This window comes from Homo sapiens, chromosome 22 (assembly GCF_000001405.40).
Source record: "Homo sapiens chromosome 22, GRCh38.p14 Primary Assembly".
Classification (NCBI taxonomy): Eukaryota; Metazoa; Chordata; class Mammalia; order Primates; family Hominidae; genus Homo; species Homo sapiens.
The window spans coordinates 35,903,882-35,930,021 of NC_000022.11; the positions used below are offsets into that span (position 1 = coordinate 35,903,882).

Consider the following 26,140-nt stretch of genomic DNA (forward strand, 5'->3'; position numbering starts at 1 on the left):
AAACTCTGTAAAACAAACACCAGATCTTATCACTCTCCTACTTCCACGGCATCACATTACATTTTTCTTTCCAAACTCCTTATGATGGTCTTTAAGGTCCTATATGACCTGCTATGTGCCCACTTCTCCAACCTCACTTCATACCATATCTCCTCTCAATCACTATTCTAAAGACACTGATTTTGTGTCAATTCCTCTCCCCCATACCCCTTAATTCCCTCTTTCTGAAATCCCTCCTCGTTCCACCTTCATTCTTTGCAAGCCAGGCTCCTTCTTATCTTTTAGAACTCAGCTTAAATATCACTTCCTCAAATAAAACTCTCCAGACTCCTCTATCTAGTTGGAGGTCTTTCCCCACAAGCCCGTACTCTCTGTTACTGTGCCCTGTTTATGTTCTTCCTAGCAGTTACCAAAATCTTTAATTATTTATGCTTTTTTTGGTTACAGATTTCTCCATTAGAAAGTAATGTTTTGTGTATGTCAGATACAACTGAAATCTTCTACTATGAAACGCTTTATCCTTTGACTTTTTGTTAGGGAAGGTCAAAGTTATTTGCAGGAGTTTCTGGCACTCAGGCAACTGTCTAACCAAGTCCTATAAATAAAGTTAGAGTGCTACTAATTTCACCCTAGTTACCAAAAGGACTCACAGCTTTGCCACAGATACAAACCACAAATAAATGCTGGTAACAATGGCTTTAAAATGCTACACTGTGAAATAATCATAACGTCAATATGAAAAGGCAGTTCCAATTTAATCATTTACTTTAAGCTAATCTGATAATCTACATTCCAAATTGTCTCCCTTCCAAAACTATAAATTTATTCTTCTCAGCACAATAATAGCATCCCAGTTCAAGCTCTCCTCTAATCAAGCTTGCTGTATATAAGTTAGTTAACTAGAGTCTAGAACTACGTCGTCTAACACGCAGCCAGCTGTCATATGTGGTTATGTGAATTTAACTTAATTAAAATTAAAATTTCAGTTACTTAATACTAGCCACATGTCAAGTGCTCAAGAGCCACGTGAGGATAGTGGCTATCATAATGGATAGGGCAGACATAAAACATTTCTATCATCACAGAAAGGTCTATTAGACAGAGCTGTCCTAGAACACGGTAATAACCAGGAAGCAAAAAGGCCCTCTAGGTATCCAGAATTCCAAAACATTCATTCCAAAATTTTCATCGGCAGGAAAACTCCATCAGACCTTCTCTCTGAATCTATTTATTTTTATTTTAGGAATATTTCTGTCCTGGTTATCTGGCTAATTGTCCACCAAAAATTTACAAAGCAAATTAAGAAAAGGAACTGGGAAGCAGTGGGGAATAAGTACCAGAGGAAAAAGGAATATTATGTTAGAGGCAGCCAACATAGGAAACAAGAAAGATGAAGAGAAAAAAAATCTAAAAAGCAGGTAAAATAGATAGATGATATATGTCAAAATGGTGCCACTTAGTAAGGCAAAACCAGCAAAAGCTCCTGAAATATTACTCTTTTATATTCCTAAACAATACTGATGCTGATACCTGTGTTAAAACCATTTAAAAATGCCCACTATTTTACTGTTAAGAAGAAATAAATTTTATAGTTATACAACACAATTTAGAAGGATTTATTTCTGAAATGACTGAATCTTAAATACCTTGGTCTTTAAAGAAGGGAAAATCCTCTCAGCTGGTTAGGATACTCAGCCATGAAGAAGAGAAATATTCTGCACAAATTCAAGAGTTCAGTCCCTTGAATATGAATGAATGCGTTTACAGAGCAGGTATAGATATGTAAGTAAGACATGACTCTCCTGTTTAATGAATTATGGCTTATCCATACAGTGAAACACTGAACAGTATAGCCTTGGGGGAGGGGGATGAGGAAGCTCTTAAAATACCATTATGAAATACTCTAATAGAGTCATGCACTGCATAGCAATGTTTCAGTCAATGATGGAACACATATGTCATGGTGGTCCCGTAAGATGATAATGCCATGTTTTTACTGTGCCTTGTCCATGCTTAGATATGTTTAAATATGAAAATATTTGCCATTGTGTTACAATTGCCTACAGTAATCAGTAGAGTAACATGCTGTACTGGTTTGCAGCCTAAAGGCATTAGGCTGTACCATATATAATATATAGTCAGGTATATATCTAGGTTTGTGTAAGTACATTCTATGATGTTTTCACAATGAAGTCACCTAATGACACATTTCTCAAAAAGTATCCTTATCATTAAGCCATGCATACCGCATATGTCATTAAGTGGAAAAAAGAAAGGTTTAGCAATGGTTTTAAAACCAGTGGTTTTTTAAATGGGAGGAAAAGATCAAAGGAGGAATTATACACAAGAAGTAAAAAACACCCAGTGCCTGTAGGGGAAAGACACTGGGAACTCAAGACAGGAATGGGAGAGCAACTTTTCACGATATGACCATTTTCTACTTTTAAAATATTAACTTATGTAAATGTTATTTATTCAAAATACAATAATCATACATTTTATAAAAGTGAGTTCTCTATCCCTAAGAAATGTATAATCTAATGACTTACCCAGGCTTCAAAAAACAAAAGAAAAAAAATCACACTTTTTCCTTTACCAATGGTCAGATATTTAAATATTTCACACATACTTTATTCTTACTTAAAACCTCATTCTATGGCCTGGCACAGTGGCTCATGTCTGTAATCCCAGCACTTTCTGGGGCTGAGGCAGGCAGATCTCTTCAGGTCAGGAGGCCAGCCTGGCCAACAGAGTGAAACCCCATCTCTACTAAAAATACAAAAATTAGCCGGGCGTGGTGGCACACACCTGTTAGTCCAGCTACTTGGGTGGCTGAGTCACAAGAATTGCTTGAACCCAGGAAGTGGAGGCTGCAGTGAGCCAAGATCACGCCACTGCATCCCAGCCTGGCCAACAGAGCAAGACTCTGTCCCAAACAAACAAACAAACAAACAAAAAACCAAAAAACTTTCTATACCATTTGAATTTCCATTTCCAACAAACTAATCAATTTTGGAAAAAAACTCAAACTTGATCTTAAAATGGAAACTGCAGTGATCCTTACCATAATCTTGTATTATTTAGCTTTTAAAAAATCTTTGCATAAAAGTATATACATTTCAAGAAAAAAATCATCTTGTTGGAAAACATGGCAAAGACTGGTTGAAAATCTCCCAGGGAAGCCGCAGAATGGTCTTCTGTATCATGTGGGAGATAAGGCTGGGTCACTCTGATAGGCCCTGGAGCTGAGAATGTTAGTGGCTTCCCAATATCCTCTCTTCTCTTCTTCCTTAGTAACAAAACCCCAGTTTTCATTTTAGCATATTACTGTACACGCTTCCCCAGAAAAGGACTACATCTTCCATCCTCCACTACAGCTACATATGGCCCTAAGACTAATTCCGACTAATGAGATATAAGCAGAAATGTTACATGGAACTTCCTGGAAGTTTTCTTAGGTAGGGGAGGGGACACCCCTCTTTTCTTCCTCTCAAACTGCTTTGTGGAAAGGGGGAAATGATGGCTGAATCATCTAGGCCCATCCTACAGTCAGAGAAGTAAACAGCAGTAAGGATCTTAGATCCTTGGTAACCAGACAGCGCCATATTAGCCTGGACTGCCTAATTTCAGACTTCTTTTTCATGAAAGACAAATGAATCTCTCTCTTGTTAAGATTCTGTGTGGGGAAGAGGAGATTGTTATATGCAGCTGAACTTAATCCTAAATGTTTTCAATAATAAATTATTTACTTTAACTTACAAATCAAAACTCGATTTTTTTTTTTGAAACAGAGTGTCGCTCCGTCGCGCAGGCTGGAATGCAGTGGCGTGACTCCAGCTCACTGCAACCTTCACCTCCCGGATTCAAGAGATTCTTGTGCTCAGCCTCCCAAGTAGCTGGGATTACAGGTACCCACCACCATGCCCAGCTAATTTTTGTATTTTTAGTGGAGACGGGTTTTTGTCACATCGGCCAGACTGATCTCGAACTTCTGACCTTAAGAGATCTACCTGCCTCGACCTCCCAAAGTGCTGGAATTACAGGTGTGAGCCACTGTGCTCTACCCAAAATTCAATTTCACTTGAAACAACAGAAAGCTTTATGCACATCAACAGTGTGCACATTTGATGACCAAAACAGAGACTGTCAAAGAATCTTGAAATGTCTATTTCAAATGTTTAGGCCAAGAAGTCAACTGGTGTATCACTCTGATCTACTATCCATAACTATTCCACACCAAAATGATAGAAATAAAATTTTAACTTAACCATTCTTGAATTCGTATAATGAGAAACAGTCAAATATGGATACACTCAGTTTCTTCACCTGCAAAATGGAGTTAATAATGCCTACATTACAGGGATGTTGTCAAACCCAAATAGAGAACAAATGTTCTTCAACTTACAATGGGATTTTGTCCCTATAAACTCATCATAAGTTGAAAATATAGTAAGTCAAAAATGCATTTAACACACCTAACCTACCAAACATCATAGCTTAGCCTAGCCTATCTTAAACATGCTCAGAACACTTACATTAGGTTACAGTTGGGTAAAATCATTTAACACAATGCCTATTTTATAATAAAGTGTTGAATATCTCATGTAATTTACTGAATATTATAATAAAAGTGAAAAAATGGGTACTCAGATGGTTTCTACTGAATGAACATTGGTTTCTACTGAATGTGTATTGCTTTTGTACCATTGTAAAGTCAGAAAACTGTTAAGCAGAACCATTCTAAGTTGTGGATGGTTCAACATCTGTATGTTAGGCTATTATGTAAACAGAGCAATATATACTATTGTTATCATTACAATTACCACCACAATAGCCAATTGGTAAATATGAGTCACAAAATAAAAAATACTAGATGAAACCTATTAAATAGGCAGAAACTTAGGTTTGGGGCTCAAGGAATTCAGTGAACTTGCCAAGCCTCTTTCATCCAATTTCTCATCTATTTTTTTTTTTTTTTTGAGATGGAGTCTCGCTCTGTCACCCAGGCTGGAGTGCAGTGGCATGATCTCAGCTCACTGCAACCTCCACCTCCCAGGTTCACACCATTCTCCTGCCTCAGCCTCCCAAGTAGCTGGGACTACAGGCGCCCGCCACCACGCCTGGCTAATTTTTTGTATTTTTAGTATAGACAGGGTTTCACTGTGTTAGTCAGGATGGTCTCGATCTCCTGACCTCGTGATCTGCCCACCTCGGCCTCCCGAAGTGCTGGAATTACAGGAGTGAGCCACTGCGCCCAGCACATCTCGCTATCTTTCAGAAAATCATTGTTATCAGGTTTGGTGCAGTGGCTCATGCTTCTTGTTGCAGCTGCTCAAGAGGCCAAGGTGAGAGGATCGCTTGGGGCCAGGAATTTGAGACCAGCCTAAGCCACATAGCAAAACCCAGTCTCTTAAACATATATATATGAAAAAATATACATTACATCAGGAATTTCAGTTTCCTTCTTTAAAGTATGGGTGGAAAGAAGGGAGTTGAGAGGTTGTAAGGGGAGAAAAAGAACAACAGCAGTAAAAGGCTTAAAGTAATTAGGAAGTCAGATACACCTGAAATATGTAACCCTGTTTTAGCATTTTACAAGTTGTCAAAAGGTAATACAACAATTTTAAAAGTAACGCTAGCAATATTTTTCTTCATTCAAAAGAAAAATACTAAATACAAATATAGTTTCTACTTAGTATGCAACAATCTATCATGAAAAGTGCAATGTCTCCGAGCAATGTCTTCGAGAAATAAGGGTAACATGTGAGTCCCCCTGTTGGAGCGAAGTGGCACAATCTCGGCTCACTGCAACCTCCGCTTCCCGGATTCAAGCGATTCTCCTGCCTCAGCCTCCTGGGTAGCTGGGATTACAGGCACAAGCCACCATGCCCGGTTAATGTTTTTGTATTTTTAGTAGAGACAGGTTTCGCCATGTTGGCCAGGTTGGTCTCCAACTCCTGACCTTAGGTGATCCACCCACCTCGGCCTCCCAAAGTGCTGGGATTATAGGCGTGAGCCACTGTGCCGGGCCTTACTTTCTTTTTTAGGCAGAAAAAGAAGATAATTTTTAACCTGTACCCAAAGGCATAGACAATACAAATGTAATCTATTTTGATGATTGACAATCATAAATATTTACTTAATTTCAACAAAGTCATGATTTTTTGCTCTTTAAACAAAATATAACTGAATCTCTTTAACTTTTATACTTAAAATGATTTAACTTCTCCAAAATGTTTAAAGTTTGAAAAAAAGCCAATGAAGTCACTTCCTGAAGCCATTAATTCATCTTTTTAACACTACTTCTGGTGACTTTAATCCACACACACATTGTACGTGAGTCATACTGATGCTGTGTTATTCAATTCATTATATTTTGAAAAGTACTCTATGGTCAAATTAACTTTGAGAAACACGGTTTAAGCAATTTTATTGTTTGCCCAATTTGAATTTTCGCAGGCTTCTAACAGGATACTTAAATTAATAGATGCTTTTTTACAAATTTCACATATACTCATAGGAAGAAAACAAGCTATCCAGGGGTGTCAGAGATAGGTAGCTGACAGGCAGACAGATGCCAAGAATTTGCTCCACAATTTAAAGGGCTACAATCAGGATAACAGAAGTGTGAGAAACAGACTCAGACAGCTTAAGGGTTTTTGTTGCCCAGAAGGAATACCAATGGAAGGGATACCATTGTCCATTTCTATACCTTTCTGTTCTGAATAGCCATATCCAAGCAGCTTTACTGTGTGAGATTCCTGGAGAATTAGAAGTACTCCCACTTCCCTAGATGATTCATTTGTAATGCCAACTTATGTGTCTGAATGCATGCAAAGGAGGTTGAGGGTCTTCTGAACTAGCGGAAAAAAACTGAAATAACATTATTTTCTGAGAAGGTAATCTATTTTAATCCATACAAATCCATTTGGGCTTTACCATTCTATCCCATATATAAGCAATGGCTGCAGCATCAAAATGTTCCTTAAAATTAGTACATGCCAAACTCTATAAACTTATTTTCAGGCTATGACTTTACTTTTAATAACATAAATGAGTTCAGTGGGACTTATTTTAATTATTTCTGAAACGGTTTATTTTTAGTAAATATAATAGTCCCCCACATGGAAAGCTATAACCATGACAAAAATTTTCTAGGAGGAGATAAAACCCTATTTATAGACCTATCAGTTGCTCCTTGCTTAGGTTGTAACATAGTTTCCACTTTAAGCCTGATATGACCTCCCGGGACTTCTCTGGTCTCTAATAATGTCCCTTTCATCCTGAAGTTTCCCACATTTATCTTTATCTCCCCCAGGTACTTAAGTTAAGCTACTATGGGTTGGGGGAAGGGAGAAGGAAAGAATCTTCTTTGTAAAAGCCATCTCCTACAGAAGAGTTTTAGGTAATTTTCAGGAACTTAAAAAATGAAAGATAGTTCTTCACTTGGTGGGCTTTTTTGGGAGAGAACCTCATAAATATTCAACAATCATCAGGAATACTGCTACACAGTAATCAATGCATATGGGAAATGGAAATGGCAACAAGGCCTACTGGTGTCTTAATCGACCTCTGATTTATCTTAAAGTTTTGCATCTTTTAAAAATCCAACAAGAGTAAAGGTATTTTAATATACAGGATACCACATTCTCTAATCAGAGGAAAGCTAATCAAGGGAGCCAAAATATAAATAAATGTAAGAAATTTTTCCTAAAAATTGTGATCTCAGGGATTAAGTTGTTATTATTGGTGTTGTTTACATTAGCTGCTGGTATCGTTACACTCCTCACTTAAAATGCTAATTGGTGGAATCTCCCCTTCCCAATCTCTGCCTATGACTCCATCAACAATTTTAGAAGGTATAAGTACCTTATTCTAATCCAATGAGCCATTTTCAATTTCCTTTCACTAGCAGTGGCATGACCCATATCCCATCTCACCCCAGCCCTTCCCCACTCCATACTCTGGATAAAATTTTTAATGAACCCTGTTTTTACTGCTCCAGCAAATCCTAACCCCTTTCATCTCTAAACCTCAACAACATTTGCTGGTCTTGGTTCACTCATTTTTTTTTAATCTTAAATACATACTTCTTTTTTGTTAATTCCATGTTTGTAGGTCTTGTATCCTGAATGAGACTGCAAATTGTACTCAACGTAAAGGCCTAGTGGGCAATGACACATCTTATCTCAGCATCATCAGTTGGTCATGCCAACTGACTGGCATATAACAGGCACATAATAAACATTATGGAACTATTTGTTGAGGTGATCTGGATGGCAGAAACAGCATACTACGTATACTTCTCTTATATGAATCTCTCAGAGCACACCACTGGGAAAGCCCAACATAAAGTGTGGCAGAGCTAAATCACAAGCAACTCCTCAAGAGAGGAAGGGAGAAGAACATGAGCATTCATTAATACCAACCCATCTTTCATTAGATTCCCATCAACATTCTCAGGAGCTCAAACAGATGGTGTGAACACAGGATGTACCAAGTGATGGAGCAAGCAATAACATTTCCTCACCGCAAGAAAATTCTTCCACCTTTTCCATCTACCTATATATTACTTAACCTTTAAGGCCTACCTCTTCCTGTCCACCCAATTCACAGTGAAATCCCCTAAGCTCTCCAGTACCTGAGGATGAGTAGCTATTTAGCATTTTCACTTAAAACAAGGGATGGATCCAAACTTTAACAAAAATAATTCAAAATAAACACCAGTAAAAGTCACCTGATTGTAAAAGTTGGCAAACACCAGGAAATACTTCTTTTAATTTTTTTTCAGTTGTTAAACTTATCATATAAAATGTATTTCCCTTTTTAAAAGAAGATATATGGGTTTTCCGGGGTGATCTGAGCTGAGGCATGAGCATGAATGATCAAATAAAACTCTCAAGATCATATCCCAGAGGCAGCATGGCATTGAAGAAAGAACTGAGGTTTGAAAGTGAAACAGACCTACAATCAAATTGCCAAATCACCATTCATTAGCAGTGACCTTGAGCAAGTACTTTAACCCCTCTTAACCTGTTTTGTAATCAACAAATGCAGAATTAAGATGAAAATTAGAAATAATGTACATAAAACACCTAGGCCAGTGCCTTTCTTAATAAATTTCAATTGTTAATGGTTTTGTCTATTGTCATTTTTCTTAGCCCACAACAAATGACAGAAAATGATTTATTGGCAAATCTGACATTTTAGGGCTTCTACTGTAATTTTTTTTTAATTGGAAGTAACCAAAATATTAATAAGAACTCACCTTTAAAAAGCTATTTTCTCTGTGAATTTAAAAGTAAACCGTGGCCAGTTGCAGTGGCTGGTGCCTATAATCCCAGCACTTTGAGAGGCAGAGGAGGAAAGGAAGATTGCTTGAGCCCACGAGTTCAAGATCAGCCTGGGCAACATAGTGAGACTCTGTCTCTATTTTTAAAAAGTAAAAAAAGTAAGATCTGCAGGAAGAGAAACAGAAAGTGTTCTCTTGGGTAAGGTGTATCTATTAAATCAGATGGCTAGGATAATTTACAAGCAAAAAAATAAAGCTCTTTAAGGGAGCGCCTAACAGGATATATATATCCTGTTATTTCTATTGTGTGTGTGTGTGTGTGTGTGTGTGTGTATACATATATAATTATATCATTATAATATGTGTGTATATGTATGTGTGTGTGTGTATATATATATATAGATGGATAGAGATATACCGATATATATATGGTTTACTCCTACCTGGAATTTCTATGATATCTATAAATCTATATAGGTTTATAGATATAGATATCATAGAAATTCCAGGTGGGGATAAACCCAATATTGTAGTATCTATGTCATAGAAAGGCTATGGGTAAAGATAATTTTTTAACCTAATCAAAATTCTGCTCCTCCCTCAAACCAGGGATATTTACCTGATAATCACAAGCCAAAGGGAAAGAGAAAAGAAAATATCTGCCTGTCTAAGAAAAGGGGAATGAGGAAGGGGTGGGCAGAGCTGGCTATAAAGGACGGGAATTTCTTTATGGAGGAAGGAGAAAATTGAATGCTGTACCATCTTCTTTTGCTGCTTTCAGGTGATGGAGGAATCCCTAAGTCATTTACTTGCTCTAGTAGCGGGGCTGTGAAAGAGGAGACAGTAATGTTTGGTCCTCCTACAGGGCAGGATTAAAAGCTGTGAAGGAGTTAAAGAATATCAGAGTGAAAATGCTGGCAGGACTTCTAGGGCCTTTTTAGCCAGCCTAGTGGAATGGAAGAGTCTGGGCATTAGAGCCAGATGGGCCTTCCTTAAGTGACCTTGGGCAAGCTGGACAGCCTCTCTAGCCTACACTTTTCTCATCTGTAAAATTGGGTTAACAGCATTTGCCCTGCAGAGTCATAAGAATTTAATAAGGTAACAAATAAAAACAAACTGCTTCAGAATAGGCACTCAATACAGGTTAAATGCTTTTCCCCTAAACCTCAAGGCTAGCGATAAAACGCCACTGGAATATATAGTGATATACCATACATGCCCATTTTCTCCTTTTCCTCTCATTGTGCATAAAGAGAAGCAAGTCTAAAAAGAGAAAATAACTTTTCCAAGGTTGCAATACTAGTTACTGGCAGAATTGGGGCTAAAAGCCAGTTCCTTCAAGTTCAATGCAATGTACCTCGCCTCATTAGGAACAATCCCTTAGGGATGGGCTCTGAGAGTAGATGCCAACAAGAAAACAAGCTAACTGCAATGTCTGCCATTCCCTGTGATTCAGATACCTAAGAGTTAAACATTCAGTCTCAGCTACAGCTCCGGAGTTGGCTGACTCCTTAGGCACTGAAATCCATTCCTCTACGTGATTGGTTGGTTCCCAAAGGGGTGGGGAAGAGGAAAAGGGAGAAGAATGTCACCCGATCCCCGGGGGTAAACAACAGCAAAAGCATCTGCTCAGGTTTTCAACTAAATCTGTGAAATATTTCTGAACACTTGACCACCAAACTTGAAAAACTGTTAACTTCTGACCTTAATCAAAAAGGTTGTTCTGTAATGACCAGATCCTTAGTAATGCAATCTGGACAAACAAATGCAAAAAGACAGTTTAATATTTCTCTAGCACAAAATTAGTACCCAGTGCTCGTGTGCTCTAGGTGCTTGAAATCGACACTGCCACCAACCCTCCTCCCCCTTTGCCATTACAGAGAGAAACCAGCCTGCTTGCTTCCACCCTACCATTTTACTCGAACTCTGCCATTTCGGAAATATGACAGGACTACACAATCACATTCTCTCCTCTGAGCCACCTCCTTTAAGAGCAGCCCCATCCCCTTGTAACTTTCTGTAATTATGTTAGCACACATGTGCAGGGCAGAGAGAAGGGAGGGTTTGGGGAGAGAGAAACCCAATACCCTGCCAAATCCATTGGGAAGTCTGCCCAAGTTATTAATCCAGGACGGGGCCACTTAACTAAATTAGTTGAGGCAATGCCCTTCAATTGTAGCTAGATTCTTTCCCCAGGGGAGAATGCAGGAAGTGTCTGCCTCCTCAAAATCTTATTACCCCAAACAACTCTTTTTTTCTTCAGAAGTTTCTCTCTCCCATTTCAAAGCTATGTACAAAATACTTTTGTTTTATGCAGAGAATCAGAGAGGCAGCCGCTCTCCCTGAGTACACTACAGGGACTCCACACGACTGGTCAGTAAGGAGCTGCTGAAAAGTGCATTCCCTTTGTTCTTACAGCCACAATGAAATTTTAAAGTCCCAATTATGTAAACCAGGGTGAGGGATGAAGAGCTACAGTTAAACCAAAGAGAAAGCCTCCTGCAGAATGACTAAACCTGGAAGTCCTTTTACAGTCTCAACCAGTACATGAATCAGCTCTAGTTCACCTTAATACGGCACCAGAAACGAGGAGTAAGCCATACCCTCTCCCAGGCCCACCCTAAACAATCTGGAATTGCTGGACAGATCATCTCTCAGAAACTGTGTAGACTACAAATGACCCAAAACCACTCTACACTCACTCAAAGAGGAAAGATTCCTCAATACTGAGCACAAGCAAATCAGCTCCAGGAAGTTAAGTGGCAGAGGCTCCGTATGCCTCCTCTTTGTCTCTATTCTTTAATCCCAAAGCCAGATTTAATCTAAATCATGTTACTAATGCCCTGTGCTAACACAGATGTCTCATTTATAAATCCTAGGGAACATAAGTGACTTAGCTCTCTTTCACAGTAATGCTCAGCAAATTAACTACTCAAGGAGGTTCAGTATGGTTACTAAAAACATAGGCTTCGGTATCAAGCTAACCTAGATTTAAATGCCTGTTCTACCACTTTCCAGCTCTGTGACTTGCTCTTCTCTAAAGCCCAGTTTCTTCATTGGTAAAATATGGCTTCTACTGTCCACCTTATAGAGAGAATGGGTGTTTGCATGTTTGTTTGTTTGTTTGTGACAGGGTCTCACTCTGTTGCTCAGGCTGGAGTGTAGTGGCATGATCTTGGCTCACTACAACCTCTGCCTCCCGGATTCAAGCAATCCTCGTGCCTCAGCCTCCCAAGTAGTTGGGATTGCAGGCATGGGCCACCAAACCCGGCTAATATTTGTATTTTTAGTAGAGACAGGGTTTCGCCATGTTGTCCATGCTGGTCTTGAACGCCTAGCCTCATGTGATCTGCCTGCCTCGGCCTCCCAAAGGGCTGGGGTTACAGGCACAAGTCACCGTGCCCAGCCAGGAGAGTGGTTGTTAATAGTAATGAGGAGTGGGCCGGCCGTGGTAGCTCATGCCTGTAATCCCAACACTTTAAGAGGCTGACGCGGGCGGGTCACCTGAGATCAGAAGCTCGAGACCAGCCTGGCCATCATGATGAAACCGTCTCTACTAAAAATACAAAAATTAGCTGGGAATGGTGGCTCATGCCTGTAATCCCAGCTACTGGGGAAGCTGAGGCAGGAGGTTTTGCAGCAAGCCGAGATCACGCCACTGCACTCCAGCCTGGGAGACACAGAGAGACTCTATCTGAAAAATTTAAAAAAAAAAAAAAAGAGTAATGAAAAGTGGATGGTATGTGCATATGTGCATTAGCACAATACCTGATGCATAGCAAGCATTCAGTAAATAGTACCTGGTACTATAAATTATTATTAAGGACCATAAAACAACTTCTATAAAGGAATAACACGGCCATCTGACAACCTTATTAGCATTCCTGCATCTTACCCATCCCATCATGAATGGTAAACAGCATGAGAATGCCAAAATTTATTTAATGACTATATTGAGCAACTCCTAGGTGATGGGGGAAAAGAGTGAAGGATACAACTTCTCCCTAAAAAGGAGCTCATGTTGGTAGGGGAAGACACAACAAAAAAGAAGGGGAGGAAGAGAAAGTACTGAAAGGGGTCTCAGTATGGAACTACTACCCAGCTTAAGTGTTCCACTGTGAAGGGGCTGGGTTTAGATCTATCTCAGCCGTCAGGGTCATGTTGAATAGATCTGTTAGGGTCATGGGGCAGGAAAATGTCAGAAAGCAAGGCCCATTCTGGAATTCTATACACTAAGAATGAGGGGAGGGGACAGTGAAAATGCACAGTGAGAGAAGGATTTTTATCTTTTCTCTTCACATTATGCTAGGCAAAAATTATAGCAGGCATAGAGTTGACAACCATGATCAAACATTTTCAGGCAGGAACTACAAGATGACTGCTTGTTAGGTTAGTGTAGCAGCACATATTTATTTTTTAGCAAATAGACATGGGGCTCTCAAGGAATTATAATCACGTAGTCATGAAGATACTCACTGGACACAGTGCACTGCACGGGAGGCTGGGAGAAGGGGAGGCCAGAAGGGGCTGGGTTCTGTAAGTCAGTGGCGTGCAAACTCACAAACCAGTGCTCTTGCTCTTTCCTATAAATTTTCATCATCACAATCGCAATCTGTCAAACTCTCAAATACACCTTAAAGCCTGCACTGCTGATGGAGTACAGCAGGGCTTGGCCACTCCTTGGTCATGACAGTACATGTTCTTCAGGAAACAGCTCTGCACTGGGAAAAAAGCACTCCACTGAGAATGAAGGCTCAATATCACAGACTCAGCTTTGCCACTAGCAAGAGCTATAAGAAAATAAGACTATGGATTTGGTAAGTCATCTAACTTCTCTGGAACTCAGTTTCCCCAAATGTAAAACGGGGGTGATATGATTAAATGTAGCGCTGACATTCAATGGCTCAGGAACTGAGGGCCAAGCTGATGTCCTCTACCCAGAGTTCTTGTTTCAGTGTTAGGGCTGACATGCCAAAGGGCCAGGGTATCAAGACAAATGATTACAATTCACTCTCTAAACTAAACTGAAAGTTCTGGCAAAGTAGAAAGCCATCCACAACATTTCTGGTGTACAAATTAAAAAGACTTACATCCTGAGCCATACCACTCATTTTATGAAGGTATCTCTATTCCTTGGAGATTAAATCAAGAAAGTAATTAACAGGAATCAACAGAACAACAGTAAAGTCACCTGGCACCCAGAAGGGCACATTGTTTGCTTGCTAAAGGAGCCCTCCAAACTCTACAGCTGAGAAAGCATACAGGGGCCCTAGAGTCAGCATTCATTCCAAAAACACAGGAATGATGGTTGCTATTTCTGCTTAATAGATCAGGACCTCATAAATGGGTGTCATCTTCACTGGACGAATCATATAGTAAGAAATAATCTTACAAATGCCAGCACTCAACAAACTGGCAGCTCTTTAGAGAGGACTCTCTGGGGACCCAGAGCTGCAGTAACTGAGGGAAATGTATCCAGATTAGATCAGCAAAGGCCTCTCCAGTTCCCCATGAGGTATTGTAGGGGGCAATGGTGCTGGCCAACACACAAGATTTACACAATGAGCTCCCTGAATACTGCACGTGTTCGGGTCAAAAGAGCTGCCACTCTGCTACAAACAATTCATGAAGCAGCAGATGCCAACTGTCCTGTCACCTAGGCCTTTAGCTGCAATTCCTCAAGAAAGCCTGATAGCCTTGGTTTTCATAGTAGTCACCTATTCCTCCCATTTTAAATTAAGGAAAATAATCCTATTTATTGTCTCAGTCTCTTCACCTTTCTTTTCCCAACATAAAAACATGTTTTCCCACCATAAAAAAAAAATATTAAATAAGATGTGGTATATCCACATAATGAAGTATTATTTAGCAATTAAAAAATGAAGTACTGCTATAACATGGATTGTGCTAAGTGAAAACATTATGCTAAGTGAAAGAAGCCAGACACAAGGGACCACATATTCTATTGAGTCTATTTATATAAACTGTATACAGAATAGGCAAAATCTGTAGAAAAGTGGAGACCACTTGTTGCATAGGGCTGGGGAAGTAGTGGGCATAGAGGAATTAAGAAGTGATGATTGGCCAGGAGCAGTGGCTCACGCCTGTAATTCCAGCAGATTCAGAGGCTGAGGCGCGTGGATCACTTGAGGTCAGGAGTTCAAGGCCAGCCTGGCCAACATGGCGAAATGCCACCTCAACTAAAAATACGAAAATTAGGCAGGTGGCATGCGCCTGTAGTCCTAGCTACTTAGGTGGCTGAGGCAGGGGGATAGCTTGAACCTGGGAGGCGGAGGTTGCAGTGAGCCGAGATCATGCTACTGCACTCCAGCCTGGGCAACAGAGTGAGACTGTCTCAAAAAAAAAAAAAAGAAAAAGAAGTGATAACTACGGGGAATGGAGTTTCTTGTGGAATACTAAAAATGTCCTAAAACTGACTGTGGTGATGGTGATGGCTGAATGATTGTAAACATGCTAAAAGCCACACACTTTAAATGGGTGAACTGTACAGTATGTGAATTATATCTCAATAAAGCTGTTTTAAAGTGCCCTTGGAGAGTATATCACCTCCTTTGGGAAGGAAATTTTAATGAGGGAACTTTGATTCTTCTAGCCATCCCTTGTTTCCAAATGCCTGCCTGCTCCTTCCTATCAATGATTCACTTTGCTATTCCCATCCTCTGCTCACTGCACTATCTAGCTCAGGTTTACACCTTTCCTACGAAAACGACTGGGCTATTAGTTTTGTTTTGTTCTTCAAGTCCACCTCCACTCTAGTGGACTTTAGTGTCCTTTCTTACACACCTAGTCTCCTTCTGTCCCAGCTCACATAGTAAAACAATACATATACACAGAATAGTGGCTAAACACCTGCCACACCATGAAAAAAAGAATGAGGATAAACGACAGCATAAAAGCACAGGTTTGGGAGTTTTAACTAATTTGGTTCCAATCAAAGCATTTGGCCAAGTTACTTTAAATGTCACTGTCAGTTTCCACTGCTGTAAAATGGGGAAAACTAATGTATCTAATTGCATGTGGTTATTATAAAAATTAAATGATTAATATGATGCCTGGTCATGAAGGTCCTCAATAAATAATAACTGCTATTTATGGAAGTCTTATGCCCAGTTTTTCTCATGCTGTCATTCGGCAGCTCAGCCTCTATGTCAAAAAGCCAACAATAAAAGCAGGCTGTTGGTGCCATCAAATTGTTCACCATCAGTATTCCTATTTGTTCTAACCCATCTAACTCACAGATCCCAGTCTATTCCTGATACTTTGGCTTTTTTACTTCAATTTGTTTTCTTATTTCTGGGCTCACTTTAACCTCAAACATGTTTAGTATTGCCTTTCCAGTTCCATGTCCCCTTCTCAACCAAAATCTGCTTACTGCCTTAATTTTATACTTTAAGCCACTCTGGACAAATTGTTTACCCATAGTACCAAAGCACTCAGTATCCTATTCTTCCTAAAAGCATATCATGAAATCAAAACAAGACGGACTTTAGCAAGAATTATGATAAAAAAGCTTACAACCTTACAAGGGACTACTTGGCAGCCATGAAATGATGCAGCAGACATAGCTAATGGCATGAAACGATGTTTATAATAAAGTAGGCCTGAGCTGGAGGCATTTTACAAAAGTTTACACAATATGATTGACATCTGGTAAGGAATTTTAAAATGTGTATATATGCAAACAGAGTTACGCTGAAACAAGATAATCAACAACAAAACGTTAAGATAAAGTTAAATATATTAAGGCAGATTTTATTCTATTCTTTTGATCTGCTGTATATTCTAAATTTTCTTCAATGAATGCAAATTACTTTTGTTTTAAAAAAATATTTTAAGGACTTTTAAAAAAGAATTAATTTAAAGATTGCAACGCCTCTTAGCATTTTCTTACCAGCCACTATAGTATGGCTCAGGAGTCAGAAAAACCAGGGTTCAAATCCCTATTCTACCACTTATTCTATGTACGACTTTGGCAAATCACTTAATGCTTTTAAGGCTTGCTGTTCTCATGTGGAAAATGAAGAGGAAACTCCTAGCCAAGTACTTGGCACATAGTCTTCCATAAATACCAGTGCCCTTAACTCTTCCACTCCTTTACCCTATGACAGTGGTTCTCAAGTTGAGTGTGTATAAGAATTACCAAAGCATGTTAAAACAGATTACTGGACCCCATCCTCAGAGTTTCTGATTCAGTAAGTCTGGGGAAGAGGCAGAGACCATGAATAAAGGTAAGTTCCCAGGTGATGCTGATGCGGCTGGATTTGAAGCCACACTTTGAGGATACTGCTCTAGGCAATAAGACTTACAAAGTCTTCTTACAACATGTTATACAGGTATGAAGTGCTCTTTCACATCAAAAGTATTTCAGGAATACATGCTCACTGGATACTGAATTAAATTAGAAGCTAATACTGCACATCCACCCAAAAGGCCAACCTTACAACATGGGATAATTCACCCCAGCACATTGAGGGAATTGGTCTTCCACTTAAAGCAGTCAGCAAATAACAATTATTAACACTGCATTTAGAATATTCTGGTTCCAGCATGGGAGAAAACATGAGAATGCAGACACAGATCAGACAAATGAAGAGATGGACAAGAGAATCCACTGCAAGAAGTTCTGTGCCTGTCTGGTAAATTCATCTGGGGCAGAGGGGCAGATTCTGTTGTGTCACAGAACACTTGCTTTGCTCTGGGTGCCCTCTGTTGACAAAAACTGACATAGCCACTTCCTTCCCTCCCTTTTCTCCTCCCACCCTAGGGCCAAGAGTCCCACTAGTGTGACTCAGACTTGAGGCAAGGTTTCCAGTTAGAAAATTTTCCTAAGCCCATATGTAGGCAAGACAGACCTTTCCTTCCTCCAGCTTTCCTAAGTCCCCTTCTCTGTGTGCTTGTATCTGCAGCTTATCTCCAAACAGGTTAATTGTTTCAGGACCATGGAACAAAAAGTGAACAGCATTTAGCATAATGATATGTGAAATTTAAATCACAATTGCATTTCATTTTAGAAATGGCTAGTATTCACACAGAGGGAATAAACTGAGTTTGTAAATAGTGTCAAATACAATGTGAAACTCTGTTGGTATTAAGAATACTGATAAGGCCGGGCATGGTGGCTCATGCCTGTAATCCCAGCACTTTGGGAGGCCATCGCGGGCAGATCACGAGGTCAGGAGTTCGAGGCCAGCCTGACCAACATAGTGAAACCCCATCTCTACTAAAAATACAAAAATTAGCCGGGCATGGTGGCTAATTTTCCAGCTAGTCAGAAGGCTGAGGCAGAAGAATTGCTTGAACCTGGGAGGCAGAGGTTGCAGTCAGCCAAGATTGCGCCACTGCACTCCAGACTGGGTGACAGAGCTAGACTCCATTTCAAAAAAAAAAAAAACTAGACATGTCTAAATCAGGACTTTGGTCTATGGGCTACTTGTTTTTGTAGAACCCACACACAGACTACCAGCTAAGATAGCTTTTACATCTTGTAATGATTGAAAGAAAAAATCAAAAGAAAAATGACATTTCATGACATATAAAAATTATATGAAATTAAAATTTCGGTACCCACAAATAAAGTTTTACTAGAATAGAGCCACAATCTTTTGTTTACTATAATCTAAGCCTGCTTCCCTGCTACCGTGCCAGAGTTCCTGAGTAGCTCTAACAGAGACCATATGGCCCAGATGCTCTCAGATGCTTTACAGAAAGTTTGCCCCCTCCTGTTTTAAACTATTGATAAATGTGACACCTGAACCTTCAGTCAGGTATGAAGTGCTGGGTTTGAAGTCCTATGGCTCTGTCTTAGCAATGACTTCCCCCAACATTTAGTGTGAGTCCTGCACGTGGTGAGGGGTCAGCCTACACTGCCTAACACACTCCCCTTGCATCCACAGAAGCTGAAGGTACTGTGATAGATTTCTGGCATGTTTTTTGGCTAATACTTATCAGCAATCCTATAAAAGCATCCCATCTTACAAATGAGGAAGTAAGCCTAAGGGAAGTTAAGTATCAGTCCAAACTGGAATTTGAACTCAGGTCTGTCTGACACCAGAGTTCTTTGATCATTCCTCACTGGTTTTCAAACTGTCTTCCAGTCAGCAGAGCCTTATGGGGGAAAGGGCTCCAGGCCTTTCATATCTTTTTTTTCTTTTTTCTTTTTCCTTTTATTTCCCCAACTTCTTACACTTCCATATTGTTTTAGAGATAGGGTCTTTTGTCGCCCAGGCTGGAGTGCACTGGCACAGTCAGCTCACTGAAGCCTCGAACTCCTAGGTTCAGGCCATCCTCTTGCCTCAGCCTCTAGAGTAGCTGAGACTACAGGTGCACACCACCACATCTGGCTAACTTCCAAATCTTTTCTAGGAGGACCATTCCATTTGCCTTTTTAATAAATTGTGGCCAAGGAATTGGTTTTTTTTAAAAAGCCAATTTTATGCCACTTATTACCACCCTTGGCAAATCTCTCAGGAAACTGCAAATCTTGATTTCCTCATCTGCCAATGGAGATTAAAACCCTTCCCCCCCACCCAAATAATAAAGACTCACTGGGGTCTTACCAAAGATCAAATGAGAATGGGTATGAAAGCAATACCCATTACAGGTATTACAGCAATACCTGTAAACTATACAGGACTATAGATACATAACACATAACTATCACCCCTTAGTAAATAGGGAAGCAAGTGGGAAGCAAGTGGGGAACATAATGTTTGCTGCTGAGCAAAGAAAAATTAAGCATGCAAGTAAAATGCAAAAAAAAAAAAATTCAAATAAAAGTAAATAAATGCCCAGTGCAAATATCAACCCTGGAATTTAACACATTTATTTTAAAACCCAGATTCACTCATTAACAACTACATAGCCTTGGACAATGACTTAATCCCTTTGAGCCTTGGTTTCCTCACCTGCAAATGGGATTTAAAAACTACTTGCTTTATACAGTGCCTGCACATAGTCAGTATTCCACCTGTTAGCCCTCTTTTCATTAGGACACCCCCTGTCCCATGCCGAGACGTGTGTTACTCTGAAATTAAGATAATGTATGGGTTCCCTGTACCAATAATAGAATACCAGAATTAAAGAGCTAAAAGTATCTTTATCTTAAACGATCCTGTGATCCACACGACACCACAAAGCTTGTGAGAGCACAGGCTAAAGACACACTAAGGGAACAAAGATCCTAATGTAGTAATAGGAGATACATGGGAAAAGTTCTACTAATTCAATAAGTATATTTATTGAGTGTCTTAAGAGCCTTCTATGGCTCCATAAAATGACAGATTTACATTTAATATCCACTTGACCAAACCCATTAAACTTGTAAGAGGCACTCTCTTGCTGAACATCAGATATCTAGCTTCTTAAGTATTAATTTTTCATATCGCTCTGGCAAGGCAAAGGCAATAAAAACCTAGTGAAAGTCTGACCACAGTTTTGCTTTTTCCCCCACTTTGTCCATAAGAGAAAATCCAAATGGAGTAGTCTCTGTATTTCAACAAGCTGAAGTTGAGTTTATTTAATTTATCCCGTTACCACACTTTACCAAATTCATATTGGGCACATACTTTGTGCAAAGTATTCAAGAAAACTAAGAAGCATGAGAGAACTCTTGTTCTTACAGAATTCTGTGTGTTGGTCAAACCTTTTCACCATAATGCAATAGGCAGTGATAAAGTACTATTACAAAGTAGGAGGCTGGGCTGGGCATGGTGGCTCACGCCTGTAATCCCAGCACTCTGGGAAGCCGAGGTGGGCGGATCACTTGAGGTCAGGAGTTCAAGACCAACTCGAACTGGCCAACATGGTGAAACCCCATCTCTACTAAAATAAATATATATATATATAAAAGTTAGCCAGACGTGGTGGCGCATACTTGTAATCTCAGCTACTCGGGAGGCTGAGACAGGAGAATCACTTGAACTCAGGAGGCAGAGGTTGCAGTGAGCCGAGATCCAGCCGCTACAATCCAGCCTGGGCAACAGAGCAAGACTTTATCTCAAAAAATAAAAATAAAAAATAAAAAAATTTAAAAAAAAAGTAGAAGGCCGGGTGCAGTGGCTCACACCTGTAATCCCAACACTTTGGGAGCCTGAGGCAAGAGGATTGCTTGAGCTCAGGAATTCAAAACCAGCCTGGGCAACATAGCAAGACGCTGTCTTTACTAAAAATAAAACATTAAAAAATTAGCTAGGCGTGGTAGCACATGCATGCCTGTAGTTCCAGCTACTTGGGAGGCTGAGGTGGGAGGATCACTTACTTGAGCCCAGGAGTTCGAGGCTCCGCCACTGCACTCCAGCCTGAGGGACAGAGAGAGATCCTGTCTCCAAAAAAAACACAAAAAGCAAAGTAGAAAGCATGTGCCCTGGGACACTGAGTCAGCTCGCAAATAAATGCACTAGCCAAAACCTCAAGGAGAAGGTAGCATTTGAAGTGAGATTTAAAGGACGACCTGTATTTAAACATGGGACATGGGAAATAGTGTAAGTAAAGGAATTAGAATTCAAACCCACATTTAATTCCAAAGCTACGCTACCCCACCCCACAGTGTGGCTTGAACAGAGTACCTTACACAAAACAGAAGGAAAAAGACTGAGGCCATATCACAGAAGGCTTAGGATATCACACTAAAGAATATTCAGCAGATAAAAGCTAAGCAGAGTAATGAGACTCCAGTGAGATCAGAGCTGTTTAAATGCATGATTACATAGTACTTGCTGAGAGTATTTTCTGGTGGTACCAAAGTTTCTAACACAAGATCTTAAGTTACCTGTTGTATTCCCCTGTCTCTCTAATCAACCCTAGATGAGATCAGTATAATAGTATGCAGCTAATGCTATTAAGAAAATTAAAATATTTAATCTGTAACTGAAACCCGTAACTATATTGTCCACCAACTATGAGGCCTTTTGTCTTACCTTATACTTAATTAGTTGGTTTCATTCTAAATCATCTGCCAGTGACTGTCTGTTGAAGAACAAAGCACTGAATAAATATGTCAAGCTTCTTAAATGTAACTCACAAAATGGTAGCCAGAATTGATTATAAAAGACCATCGATTGCTTGGTAGTACTAACCGCTACAGCAAGAATATCCCTACTAACTACTTAGCTGCCCTAACCAAGTCTAGTCAGATGAATTTCTCGATTTTGAAAATTGCTAATGGAAATTCTATAATTTTCCTTTGTAAATGGCCCTATCTTTAGTCAGATAATTCTTTTTGATGGTCACATTAAACCTCTCATTACAATACAAATCAATTGCCTATATACAAAATAACAGGTCAATCTATTGAAAAGTCAATCAGTGAAATTATGATCCATCCATTAACAAAATATTTAAGCAACTGGGTCATGAGTGGACTAACAATCACAGCTCAACAATCCCAGCAACCCTAAACTAAGCAAAAAGAGGCAAAGCTAGGGGGAAAAGTCAAACTGCGGCATAAAAGGCAAGATGTGACAAACCAGGTACAGAAGAGCGATGAGAATAAAAGCCAGCCATATTTTTAATACTTCTGGCATCATTCATCTATCCACAGATCCACAGTAGCCCTGAAGGATTTAGGAGGTGAGAGAACGCTCAAAGTATGACACTCCCAGGACCCACAAAAACCAAACCCATTACCACCAAAGAGTCCTTAAAGCAAAAAGAAGAAACTTGGGCCCAGAGATGAGAAGATGAGAAGAGACTTTCTGGGTTACCTGGAAAGCCAAAGGCAGAGTTTAGTGCAACCTATTTTCACAACATCAGGCAATAAGTCACTCTTGACCTAGGACATTTTTAAGACTTTAATCCTTTCAAACATCCTATGGTATCCTCACATTCACAGAAAGCTGAGTCTTGAGAGAAGTTAAGTGATTTCCTCCTAGTCCTCGCAGTATTTCCCAAACTCTCTTGGATCCAAACTTTATGGAAATGTTCATACAGACATGTTAAACGATTTGAAACAATCAGAGGCAATAAGGAAAAATTTCATAAGGGAGATTAAGTTGTGAACAAGGATCTTAATGGATACTTAGGATTCTGCTGGTAAAGGAGAAACATTTCAAACGAAAGGCATTAGGAAGAAATAAATGCCCAAGATAGATATTTGAAGGACAGTGAAGAGACATATATAAAGCAGAAGAAAGGCCGGGCACAGTGGCTCACGCCTATAATCCCAGCCCTTTGGGAGGCCAAGTCAGGTGGATCACCTGAGGTTGGGAGTTCGAGACCAGCCTGACCAAAATGGAGAAATCCTGTCTCTACTAAAAATACAAAATTAGCTGGGTGTGGTGGCACATGCCTGTAATCCCAGCTACTCAGGAGGCTGAGGCAGGAGAATTGCTTGAACCTGGGAGGTGGAGGTTGCGGTGAGCCAAGATCGCACCATTGCACTCCAGCCGGGGCAACAAGAGTGAAACTCCGTCTCAAAAAAAAAAAAAAAAAAAAAAGCAGAAGAAATATGTTACTAGGGTAGTAATGAGAAACAGAGCTGGAAAAATGGGAAGCAAATTGTAGCGAGCCTTGAATGTCTGGCTCAGTTTTTACAAAATTCTGCTCAAGTTATAAAGTCCCAAAAATGACTCCCTCTTATACGCATGCTGCCAAGACCCAAGAGTCAGGTAAATAAACTTACACAGATTTCATTTCCTTCACAAAGACCTCTTTTTCTTGGAGATGTCCAACAGCTAGATTCCTGAGCTAGAAATTTCAAATCTACAGATAATTCATTTCAAATAGTGAATAAGAATCAAAAGGAAAATGAGAAAATAGACTTAAATCAGAATGTGAGAACTAATCATTCCCTTGTAAAGCTTCCTTATGGCCTCTTTTCCATAAAATAAATGAGAAAAATGACTTACTAGCCCTATTTACATGCCAAGAAATTTACATATGTTATCTCTAATACTGTAACAACCTTTCATAATAGGAATTATTCCTATTTCACAGATGAAGAAATTGAGGCTCAGAGAACAAAAACTTGCCTAAAGTCATTTAGCCTGCAACAGCAGGATTGATATTTAAACCTAAAGCCAAGGAGGGTGTGTGCATATGTGTGTGTGTCTGTGTCTGTTGGGGGGGCAGGGGTGTCTGTCTGTCTGTCTGCAGAGAAATTGCCACAAAACAGCTTTATATAGAAGCTACAGTTTAAAAAAATAAAAGCCAATGAACCTAGCTGATCCTCACTCTGCCATATACCTTAGGACATGCAGAAAGCAGCACAATTTCTCTTCATCACATGAAGAGCTTTCCTGCCCAAACATGCTTGCCACCAAGCATCGGGAGAAGGCTGTAGCCAAGCACGAAGCCACTACAAACCTGCAAATCTTCTTTGAAGGAACCACCAGGCCTCAGCAGAGAGGCAAATGCCTGTTTTCATAGTTGCTTTCATAAAATAGTTATTCAGAATTTATGCAAACTTAGCAAATATGGATGAAAACAATTCTGTTTTCTTTTATTGGAGAAGGACGAAGATACATATTACAAAACCTCATAACTGAGAACAAATATTTGCAAATTGTAAATCTGACAAAGAACTTGTACCCAGAATATATAAAGACTTCTTACAACTCAATAAGAAGAAAAACCAAATAAAAAGTGGGCAAAAGACCTGAATAGACATCTCACCAAAGCAAACATAAGTGGCTGATAAGCACATGAAAAGGTACCTACTTAATTATTAGGGAAATGCAAATTAAACCACAATGAGCTATTACCATACACTCATTATAACAAAAAGTTAGATAAAACCAAGCCACTTTGGAAAACAGTCTGTGGTTTCTTTAAAAGTTATGCATGAGGCCACGTTGTCTCAAGCTGGTAATACCAGCTACTCAGGGAGGCTGAGACAGGAGGATCACTTGAGGCAGGAGTTCAAAGCTAAATTGAACTATGATTGCACCACCACACTCCAGCATTGGCGACCTCATTTCTCTTTTATTATGATTATTATTATTTTATTTTATTTATTTTATTTTTGTATTTCTAGTAGAGATGGGGTTTAACTGGGTTAACCAGGCTGGTCTCAAACTCCTGACCTCAAGTGATCCACCCACCTCAGCCTCCCAAAGTGCTGGGATTACAGGCATGAGCCACCACACTGGCTTATTTCTCTTAAAAAGAAGAAATTATACATGAGTTTACCATTGCCTCAGTAATTCCACTCCTAGAAATCTACCCAAGAGAAATTAAAGTATGTCAACACACAGATTTGCAGGTAATTCTTCATATCAGCACTATTCATAATAGCCAAGTTGGAAACAATACAAATATCTACCAACTGGTAAACAAATAAACAAAAGGTGATACATCACTATAATGAAATATTATTTAGCAAAAAAAAATAAAAAATGACACAGTGATACATACTACAACCTGGATGAACCTCAAAAACATTATACTAATTGTAAGAAATCTCATGCCAAAGACTACATATATCATATAATTCCATTTATATAAAATGTCCAAAAGCGACCATTTTTTTTGTTTTTTTTGAGACATGGTCTCGCTGTGTTGCCCACGCTGGTCTTGAACTCCTGGGCTCAAAGGATCCTCCTGCCTCGGCCTCCCAAAGTACTGGTATACAGGCATGAGCTACCGTGTCCAGCACAAAAGAGGCAATTTTATAAAGTCAGAAAGCAGAGCAGTGGTTGGCTGGGGGAGAGAGGGAGGACTGGAGAGGGAGCAGGGAATGACTGCAAAAGAATTTGAAAGAATTTGGGGAATGAGGGAAATGTACTAAAGCTGGACTGTGACACAACTCTATACGTTTACTAAATATCACTGAACAAGTCACTTACATTGAGTAAATTTTAGGTATAGAAATGACATCTTAATAGAACTTTT

The 26,140-nt window shown here is 39.6% G+C and overlaps 1 protein-coding gene across 34 annotated transcripts in view, besides 1 other annotated feature; it reads right to left on the minus strand.

The window, feature by feature from the left end:
- RBFOX2 (RNA binding fox-1 homolog 2) overlaps positions 1-26,140 on the minus strand; it is a 290,089-nt gene that overhangs the window by 165,146 nt on the left and 98,803 nt on the right. The window lies entirely within an intron of this gene.
- Positions 12,496-13,175: an enhancer, noted in NCBI's record as "H3K27ac-H3K4me1 hESC enhancer chr22:36312425-36313104 (GRCh37/hg19 assembly coordinates)". NCBI's record gives its function as "activates a minimal SCP1, AML or CMV promoter by ChIP-STARR-seq in primed H9 embryonic stem cells {active_cell/tissue: H9 hESC(primed)}" and the evidence as "EXISTENCE:reporter gene assay evidence [ECO:0000049][PMID:30033119]".